The sequence below is a fragment of the Homo sapiens genome, chromosome 4 (genome assembly GCF_000001405.40).
Source record: "Homo sapiens chromosome 4, GRCh38.p14 Primary Assembly".
Taxonomy (NCBI): Eukaryota; Metazoa; Chordata; class Mammalia; order Primates; family Hominidae; genus Homo; species Homo sapiens.
Genome location: NC_000004.12, coordinates 147,606,261 through 147,617,258, shown reverse-complemented (window position 1 = coordinate 147,617,258; position 10,998 = coordinate 147,606,261). Strand labels below are relative to the sequence as shown.

At 39.6% G+C, this 10,998-nt stretch overlaps 1 long non-coding RNA gene across 1 annotated transcript; it reads left to right on the top strand.

The window, feature by feature from the left end:
* The first annotated feature begins 13 nt into the window (after positions 1-13).
* TMEM184C-DT (TMEM184C divergent transcript) lies at positions 14-10,540 on the top strand. The gene is made up of 2 exons (NR_186679.1): positions 14-171; positions 7,298-10,540. It is a non-coding gene; the product is annotated as a TMEM184C divergent transcript (long non-coding RNA).
* Positions 10,541-10,998: the final 458 nt, after the last annotated feature.

The window sequence follows — 10,998 nt, the reverse complement described above, 5'->3', positions numbered from 1 at the left end:
GCGTACTGGGGTTAGAAAGAAGAGCAGGTGCGTGGAAGTGGGTGGAATTGCCGCAGATGGTCCAGCGGGCTATTGCAAGGATTCTGGAAGCTGCGGGAATTATTTGAGGACACTTGAAGCACACCTACTACATTCTTCTGCTGGCGTTATTCCAGTTTAAAGAAAGCTTGGGTAAGGGGCGGTTACTTCAGAGTTGGACTGGAAGAGAGAAGGCCCATCTCTACACAAAACATCCCCTATTCAATCTAGAGTGGATACAGAAGCCCGCTGGAGTAAGAAGACAAGGAAGAATGGGAAACCTCCACCTAGTTTTCTGTCAGTTGCTAGAATCTAGGGGCTAGGCCGCTTGGTTATTTCTGGATCCTACAGAAGGATCATTCTAAAGGTAGCTTCATTTTAGAATTAACCGCAAATAGGGAATGTCCCTTCTACATTTGGAACTTGTGTTAAAAATTTGCACTCATTTAAGTTTTAAAAAGTTGACATTCCATCTGACAAAGGAGTTTCATATGCTTAAAGCCTTTAGCTAAACCAATAGAGTAAACAAATATCTACTACTCAATTACATATACAAATGCGTTTTATATTGTAATTGTAATTTTCAGGGGGACAGGCACTGTACTAAGTTCATTACCTACATTATGTAAGTTGTTCTGCACAAAAATTTTGAGAGGTAGGCATTTTTCCACTTTACAGATAAAAAAGTCAAGTGGCTGATAAATTTGCCCAGGCTCACTGAGCTAGTTAAGTGGTAGTGTGGAGATAGCAACCTTGGTCTTTGTGACTCCAAAGGGCATTATATTTAAGCATTTGACCTGCTAGTACCTGCCACCTGGGGAATTTCCGCCTAATGACCATACGGATAAGGAGGCTTGTAACATTGAGTACACCTAGCCCAGGAGTCTCACAGAGACACCTAAGGAATATTATGAGCCCCTTTTTTGGTATCGTCTGTTTGGACTTGACTTCACTGCCTACTTCTCAGTTGTTAACATTTGTATTTTACAACCTGACCCAAACTACTTTCTACCGGAAAAATAGGCCTTATGTTTGTTCTTCCTAAGCTTACTTTAAAAATGGAAATTAAGGCTGGGTGCAGGGGCTCATGCCTGTAATCCCAGCAGTTTGGGAGGCGGAGGTGGGCGGATCATGAGGTCAGGAAATCGAGACTATCCTGGCTAACACAGTGAAACTCCGTCTCTACCAAAAATACAAAAAATTAGCCAGTTGTGGTGGCGGGAGCCTGTAGTCCCAGGTACTCAGGAGGCTGAGGCAGGAGAATGGCGTGAACCCGGGAGGCGGAGCTTGCAGTGAGCCGAGATCAAGCCACTGCACTCCAGCCTGGGCGACAGAGCGAGACTCTGTCTCAAAAAATAAATAAATAAATAAATAAATAAAATTAATTAAAAAAAATTCCTGATCATTAAATTAATGCTTGCTCTGTTGTTAAAGTTCATAAAAAAGAAGAATAATGAAGAGAAAGTTAATTTTACTCTACGGCCAAGTATAACTACTCTTTACTTGTTTGGTACACAGTAGAGGCTATCTTGGATATGCCGTATGCGTAGATTGTCTCTGTGCTTTCAGCTACAGCGTTTTTGCTGCCTATAATCTTTCCCATTCTTTCTCATGGGCAAACTTTTTTTGCCTAATTTGTGAGACCTTCCTTTATTTTTGTTTCCCCATGTATTCTTACAGCATTTATATGGTATTATACTCATTTACTTATTTGTCTTGTTTAGATTTTGAATTCCTAAAGCAAAAATCTAAATCCATTAGAAAAAAGCAAAAGAGAGAAGAGATGAGACAGATGCACAAATGATTTCACATACCAGTTTGCGAACTGGAATTCTTCTATGGTGAAATTTCTTCAGCTCAGCAGAGAAATTAAAAACAAAATTACAGATTGAGTATGCCAAATCTGAAAATCTGAAATTCAGAATGCTCCCAAATCCAAAACTTTTTGAGTACTTATATGATGCTCAAAGGAAATGCTCCTTGAAACACTTCAGATTTTGGATTTTCAGATTTGAGATGCTCAACTGGTATGTATAATGCAAATGTTCCCCAATCTGAAAAAATCTGAAATCCAGAACACTTCTGGTCCAAAGCATTTCAGATGAGATATATGAATTTTTCATTTAGTTAAATTTCTTCACTCTTAAGGACCATGTTTTATTTTGAAATTGTCTATCCTATTTTTTAATATGATAATAGATAGTAGTTGTTCTTCAGATATTTTTACTTTGGAGAATAAAAAGTTGATAGCTTTATTTGCCTACCATTTGTTTCATTTTTTTCTCTTGACCTGTAAGATCCTAAAGTCTAGTAAGGATAGGGAATAGGCCATAATGCTGATGTGATCCTAATCTACTTGCTTTGCTTGCTATAGGCATTCTCTGCATTCTTTCTGGATATGAGAGCCTAAGCCTGAAGGTGGATCTGAGCTTGATGGTGTTTGAAAAATAAGAAATGGTTAAAATTGGCAGATGGTGCTAGGGTCAAAAACAAGCTATTAGTCAATTTTGATGCAAGTTATAGAGGTTAATTGAAGTTTGTTACTGCTGCATCACATGCAAATAGGTGGAATTTGCTATTATTGAAGGATAAGTTTGGATTAATCTGAATTAAGATAATAGATTAAATGCACTTTGAGGGATCCTGGGGGATGGACACTGTTAACCCTTTGCCATGTATCTCCATTTCTCTATAAATATGTCCATGGTAGTTTTAAAACCTGGCTGCAACTTCTTTGATACTCATCTGATAACAAAATAGAGTCTGTGTTCCCTCTCTTTACATGTATGTGGGCTTGTGATTGATTTTAACCAATAGAAGTTGGTGAAAATGGTCACAGTCACCATATGTGACTTCTGAGGCTAGGTCATAAAAGACCATGCAGTACCACCTTGTCTGCTGGAACATTTACCTTTTGGAACTCCCAGCCTTCCTGTGAGAAGTTCCACTGCCTGAGGCTGGCATTTTGTGAGAAAGCCCAAGACAGACAGAGAGACCCTTTGAAGGTAATACTGATCAACAGTCACAGCTGAGCCCAGGCTTTGAGTCAGCCCAGCCTAGGTGCCAGTCACGTGAGCTGAGAAGCTGATTCCAGCTCCTAGCCATTCTCGCCGCTCAGCCATTTGGGTCATCCCAGCCGAGGCCCTCATCATGGCCAGAGACATACAATGCCTGCTCTGCCTTGTCCTAAGTCCTGACCTGAAGAATTCATGAGGGTAATGATTGTCGTTTTACTTCAGTGAGTTTAGGGTTGTTTGTTACACATCTCTTCCAGTGAATAGATAACTGAAACAGTTGTCTTTTGTCTATACATTTATGTACGATTTATCTAATCTGAAAGAAGTTTCTTGCTTATAGTGACTTTTTTTTTGCCTGCAGCCTACATACAGTCCGTTAGGTTTTTCTTTTTTTAGGGATAGGTTGGCTCCAGAGTCTGAGATTGTGCTAACTAATCCATGAGTTAAGTGAGTTTTAGATTTAAAGGTTGCAAGCATGCAGGGGAGAGATCTGAGTCTTTACAGTATGCTTAATTTTCCAATGTTTCCTTTTTTCTCCTTTCCAACACATGGGAGGGGAAATGGTCTACTGTGTACCAAATGAGTGCAGAAGAAAATAAAAGTAGCACAAGTGGTAAAATTAAACTTTCAAATCTGAACCTTTAAGCTGTTTCTGTCCACTTCTAAGCTTCAACTTTACCTACCACTGTATTTCAGTGGCATTAACTGCATTTACATTTTGCAACTATCACCCCTATCATCCTCAGAACTTTTTTATCACCCAAAGAGAAAATGTGTACTCATGAAACAGCTCCCCATTAGCCCTTGCCTCTGGCCCTGGTAACCATTGTTCTGCTTTCTCTCTTTATGAATTTGACTATTCTTGGTAACTCATATATGGAATAATATAATATTTGCCCTTTTGTGTCTGGCTTATTTCACTTAGCTTGATGTTTTCTAATTTCATCCATGTTGTATCATACATCAGAATTTCATTCCTTTTTAAGGTTGAATGATATTCCTTTATGTGTATATGCCACATTTTGTTTATCCATTCATCTATTGATATGACACTAGGTTTCCACCCTTTGCCTATTGTGAATAATGCTGCTGTGAACATGGGTGTACAAATATCTGCTCAAGTGCCTGCTTTCAGTTGGTTTCTACATTTTTAAAGAGTTGTAAAAGAATATTTTAAAATATTTACTATGGAACTTTTATAGAAAAAGTTTACCAACCCCTGATTTAGAGTAAATTTTAAAATTTTGATAATGGGCTATTATGAAGTTGCTGAGTGAATCTTTCCATAAAGTTCATTCATTTCTTCATGAGGAAGGTGATACTTAAGTCTTAGTAGAGTTTCTCTAAATATTTGAGGAACTCTGTTTGGTCCCAAGACCAACACTGAAAAATTACTGCTTTGTTTTTGTTATTAAGGAAGAACGAAATTCGCTGGTTTGAAAGCAAGATTCAGTGATTTTAAGGGGCTCCTGCAGTGAATTTAGAATGAGAGCGCACAAGAGTTTTTAGAGCTAGCATTGAGCTATGAAAAGGCCCCACTGTGTATAATTAGGTATGCAGAAGCTAGAGGCACTGTCCTTTCCACTTTTCATCTGCTACTCTAATTTTACTCTGAGTAGGCAATGTCCTTTGAATCCTAGCATGTCCCTAAGGCAGAAGTTTCCAAACTTTCTTGTTTCATGGTGCCCTTAGAATCTCACTAGTTTTTTCATGGTGTCCCTTAGCCAAAGAAATTCTAATAGTTTCACTTATTAAGTAATTAGTTCCAAACACCTAATTACAGACATTCGCATACGATCTGACAGATGTTTTTGTGTTTCTTTTAAAAGTATAAAACATCCTAAGGTGCTTCTGTGAGTTCACTCCAGCACGCTGTCGCTCTTCAGCACACGATTTGGGAGTTGCAGTCCCATCTGTGCTTCTGACCTGGACTAGCCTTTGTCCTTGGCCTTGCTTCTTATTTTATTCCAGATACTGTTCCCCACATTTTCAGGCTTGCCCAACAATTGTTTCTCATGGCTTCCTCTGCTTTATAGATTTAAATTTTACATTCTTGATTCACATTTATTCCCCCAGTATATTAACTTTTATATTGGGTTTTCTTTATAAAGGTTCTTTGTTTAAACTACTGAAATAAATATTTAAATGAATAGAACATTTGCCCTCATCTTTAAAGATGTGTTACTAGAATTACTGGATTAATCACTATAGTGCTGTCTAGTTTCCTCACAAGAAAGGTGATAAAGCAGTTTGAGCACCCAATAGGCCTTAGAAGTATATGTGGTGTTTTGTCACTGAGCGAAGAAGATACTTTGAACGGTGCAAACAACTTAACATAGTAAATAATAAATTACCTTTTCTATAAATTATTACTCACTAAGTAAGCTTTCTAGTAGCTCTATCTGGTGGGGAAGTTTCTTTTTTTTTTCTCTTTCTTATCTCCATTGATGTTTTATTTTCAGACCAATTTAAGTGATACTTCTAGAATATCAAGTTTCAGGTTAAAAGGAACTAGAAAAACTTAAATTACTTTAACAGATTTAAAACTAGGTAATTCAGTAGATTTGGGAGCAAAGGTCTTTCTGGTTAGGAAGAAGATTCTGTGTATTATTAAAAATGTGAGAAAGGAAAAATATTTTTATACTGAGACAAATTCTTTTAGGATTTAAATCAAAATTATTATGCACTGTATTTGTCCATTAGATGCTAGCCTGTGGTGATCCCCATAGAAAGAAGGCTTTGACTTACACAAGGTAAAGAGAATTCATGGGGAATTTTGTCCTAGTGTGGAGGAGTTTTCTTCTTTGAACATGAGGAGTGGTCTCTATGAAGTTTGAGTTTTACCTTTACTTTGTTTGTGTATTTAAGGCTGTTGAGCATCCTTGTGTAAACTCATGAACACCTGTTCTAGATGGTTTTCTATGGGTGGGATGTGTGTGTTCGCATGCCTGTGTAACTCCTCCCACACTGTAAAAGGAATGTTCTGTGCATGCAAAGCTCTGAATAGAGTCCATCAGGCTTGGGCCATAAATGGTGCCTCTACTTATGAGGTATCCTTACTATGTAGAGGTAGAACTAGATATTTTTCTCCAATAGTATAAATTCTATGATTTGCATTTTCCAATTTTCTTGTTTGGGAAATGAGAGGGAAACAGAAGAGCAAGGTCTTTGTTTTTTCTCTTCTTGCTTCATCCTCTCCCTGGAACCATGTGTAGGTCAGGATATAAGAATCTGGCAATTGCCCTAGAACCAAGCTTTTAAAATGCTCTCTATTCTCAGAAATACCGCTTTGTGATCAATGTCCCCAGGGAAGAAGATTTAAGGGGAAAAGTATCTTATCTGATGTATAAGATACATCTGTTTTCCATTGTCACCAGAACAAATGAACACAAACTTAGTGGCTTAAGTAATGCATATTTAGTATCTTACAGTGCTGGAGGTCAGAAGTCTAACATGGATTTAAAAGGGCTAAAACCAAGGGGTCAGCAGGCTGCATTCCTTTCTGGAGGTTGTAGGGGAGAACCTATTTCCTTGCTCATTGAAGTCAGTGGCAGAATTCAGTTCCCTGCAGTTGTAGGACTGAGGCCCCGCTTTCTTTCCTGGCTGTCAGCTGAGGGTCATTCATAGCTTCTAGAGAATGTCCACACTCTTTGGTTCATGGTCAGTCCCCTTCCTCCACCTTCAAAGCCAGCAACAGAGAGTGGAGTCCCTTTCATGTAATATCCCTTCTTCTTCATCTTATACTCCTAAGGACCCACGTGATTAGATTGAGCGCACTCAGATGATCCAAGATATTTTCCCCAATTCTTCTTTGTTATTGGTTGATTGACTGTACAAATGGGTCTTGCTATGTTACTCAGGCTGGTCTCAAACTCCTGGGCTCAAGCAATCCTCCTGCCTCAGTCTCCCAAAGTGCTGGGATTACAGATGTAAGCCACTGTGCCTGGTCAATGTCTTAATCTCAAGGTTCTTAACTTTAACCATGTCTACAAAATCCCTTTCTGCTCTGTGAGGTAACATATGCACAGTTTCTGGAATTGGGACATGGACATCTTTTGGGGGAGGATGGTCATTATCCTGCTTACCACACTGGTGATGTTAAAAAAAATAAGTCTTCAATTTTCAATCATTCCACAGGTCTCAGTTTTGTATATTGTGTATTAATATCCAGAGCTCCTTTTCCTATGCTAAATTTAGACTTTTCTACATACACTGATAAGCATTCGAAGACAATTCTTTTTTTTTTTTTTTTTTTGAGACAGGGTCTTGCTGTGTTGACCAAGTTGGAGTGCAGTGGCATGATCTCAGCTCATTGCAACCTCTGCCTCCTGAGTTCAAGCATTCTCCTCTCTCAGCCTCCCAAGTAGCTGGGACTACAGGCATGTACCACCACACCTGGGTAATTTTTGTAATTTTTTAGTAGAAATGGGGTTTCACCATGTTGACCAGGCTGGCCTTGAACTCTTGACCTCAAGTGATCCACCCACTTCGGCCTCCCGAAGTGCTGGGATTACAGGCGTGAGCCACCACATCTAGCTGACAATTCTTTTATAATATTTAATTATATAGAATAAAGGGAGAGAAATAGTGAGGGGGGATATGGAAATGAGTTTTACTTTTCCTCCCAAAGTGGAAGAAAATAACAACAATCTGTGAACATGTTTAAATGCTGATGGGAAGGAACTGGTAGAGAAGGAGAGCTGAATGTGGGGAACTGGAAATTATTCCTTGAATCTGTTCTTCCTTTCTGTCATAGTAAAAGAGTTTTAGTTAGGCACCTGGCCATCCAGCTAGAAACTACATTTCCCAAACTCCTTGCAACTAATGGTCTGAATAGTGACTAGGTTCCCCTAGTAATGCACTCTCTTGGTATGCTGGAAGGCAGAATGAGGTATCCAGCACAGTTGTGGTCTTCCGGTGGAATGCTAGGGTTCAGCATTCAGAAACTTGTGGCAGTGGCTTTTAAATTTGTCTCTTTAAAGCCCTGTTATTAGCAACCAGCTCTGCTACTACCTAGCAGGAGGTTTGGAGAACACCTCTTCACCAAGCACTGGGGAAGGGGCCTTCCTTGGTAGCTGTCCTCTGACTTCCAGAGAAGACAATGGAAATGCTGCAAAAATGGCATGTCCCAATTACAACGAGAAAATGGGATTCCAGAGAGGTAGAGGGTAGGTGGGAGTTGTTAATAGACAAAGACAAATTTATGTGCAGTTAGCACAATGCATCATGGAGAAGGAATGGTCATAGGAGTGTTTTGACATGAAATCAAGGGGCAGCTTACTGAGGTCCACTGAGTAGACCTAGACCTCTAGGACTACTGGGCAGAAACAAACTAGACACCATGTTAGGATTCATGGCTTCCTACCAGAGTCTCAGAACTCAGCCAGTGGACGGATGAAGCCCCTCAACAGAGATGGAGGCCAGTTGCCTCTGAAGAAGAACTCTGTACTTTAGCCATAGTGTATCCAGTGGATTTCCTCCCAAGTCTTCCACAGGGTGACCTGGAGCTATTCACCCAGGGGTCTGTGGACGGGGAGAAGGGAATATAAAACCTACTGGGAAGTATCACATACTGGCTCTGATTTTACACTTATGCCACAGACCAAAAACATTACAATCATCTGCCAAAGTAGGGCTTATGGATGTCAGGTGTTAGATGAATTTGTGGCTCCAATTCATGTAACAGTGGACCTACTGGGATTGCAGGCCCATCCAGTGTATATTATCCCAGTCCCAGGATATCTGGTGGGAATACATACACACACACACACACACACATATGCATACAGGTACACATACACATGCATGTACACATACACATGTACATGCATATGCATACACATATAGTTGGTAACTAGCAGGATACCATTCTGGTTCCCTGTCCTGTTGAGTGAAGGCTACTATGAAAGGAAGGACTATCTAGGGCCACTGGAGCTCTTCCCAAACAATTCACCAAGCTACTAAACAGTAAGTGATCCTGCTAGGGGAATTGTAGAAATTACTGCTGCCATAAAGACCTTGAGAGAAGCAGGGGTAGTAATTCCTACTATATCTGCATAAAACTTTTCTGTTTGGCTGGAACAAAAGCCTAACGGGCCTTGAAAATGACAGTGGATTATTGCAAACCTAATCAGGTGGTGAAGTTAGTTGCAGCTATGGTTTTGGATACAGGATATTTACTGAAACAAATGATCCCCCCAGGCACCTGACATACAACTGTTGTCCTGAAAATGCGTTCTTTCCCATCCTAACCAGTAGGCAAAATCAGAAGCAGTTTGCATTTATATAGCAGAGACAAGGGTATATCTTTATTGTATTCTGTGGAACATCACACGAGTTCTTTACATTGATAAGCATGTTGTTTGTTGGACCTAGTGAGAAGGAAGTAGAAAATATATATGCTAAGGGTGGGAGATAAACCCTCTGAAAGTTCAGGGCCCTGCCACCACTTTGGTGACGTGTGAAAAGAGGCCAGTGGTTTGTAGCATGTTAGGAAATCACAAATGGCAGGACTTTGCACCCTCCACCACAAAGAAAAAGGCACTGTATTTGATAAGCCTCTGGATTTTGGTGACAACATATACCACATTTGGGCATGCTGCACTAACCTACTTAGGAAATAACCTATAAGCTTCCAGTCTTAAGGAAGTCCTGGAACAAGAATAAGACCTGCAGCATGTCCAGGCTGGGTTGAAAGTTGACATGCCACTTGAGTCTTATGACCTAATGGATTCAATGGCATTGGAACTGTAGCATGGCAGCAGAGATGCTGTTTGGAGACTCTGGCAAGTCCCAGAACAAAGCACTTGGTGGTCTAGTGACTGGACAACCTAAAACACCTACCACAAACTAACTATCATCTGATCACAACCATAAAACTGGGCATGCCCAGTAGTATTCCATTGTAAAATGGAAATGGCAATTACGAGACGCAGCCCTAACAGGTCCAGAAGGTACCGATAAACTATTTTGTAAACTGAGCATGAGCACAAGGCTCAGACTCATGTCTTATTGTGAGTTGGTATCAATTCAGACATACTGTCACCTGAAACCTGAAATATTAGTATAGTTACATTTAAGATGTGGGAAGTTGGGAGGGAGAAACAACTAAATAACACAAAATACAGTGACTACAATCCTCCAAGTTGAAAACTGTATGAATATTGTAACTTTTCATCACCTTTGACAGCTCTAAGTTACATGGTTGTGATGCTCACACATATCTAGTTTTTTTTCTCCTCTTAGAAACCTGAAAGATTACACTTTGCTGTCCTCCTCGCAGTTGGGGCCATGTGGTCCTGGCCAATAGGTTATGAGGTGAAGTCACATATATCACTTTCAGGCTGAAGTATTTAATTGCTGGTGTAATAATCTCTTGCACTCTCTTCTCTTACTTCGGCAAATCTTGCTATCTGGAGCAGCTGGAGTGATCCTAGATGACTGAAACGTGTAATGTGTTGGTCAACACTAAATAAAGTCAAAGTACTTAAAAATCTTTCCTTTTATTTTTAGTTGATGCATAATAATTGTCTATATTTATGTGATATTTTGATACATGTATACAATGTGTAACGATCAAATCAGTGTAATCGGCATATTCATCACCTCCAGCATTTATCATTTCTTTGTGCTGTGAACATTCAAAATTCTGTCTTCTAGCTTTTTGAAAATATACAATAAATCATAGTTAACTATTTTCACCCTAATGTCTGCAGAACACCAGAACTCATTCCTCCTCTCTAGCTGTAATTTTGTATTCATTAACTAACCTCTCCCCTCCTCCTCTCCCACCTGCCTTTTCTAGCTTTTAATATCCACAATTCTACTCTCTGCTTCTATGAGCCTACATATGAAAGAGAAGATAAGGTGCTAAAATTTCCTTGGCATAACATAGAGGGAGAAATGTAAAGATTTTGGAAATAAAGATACTAGAGTAGATTTTTCATGTGTAGCCCACCCAATC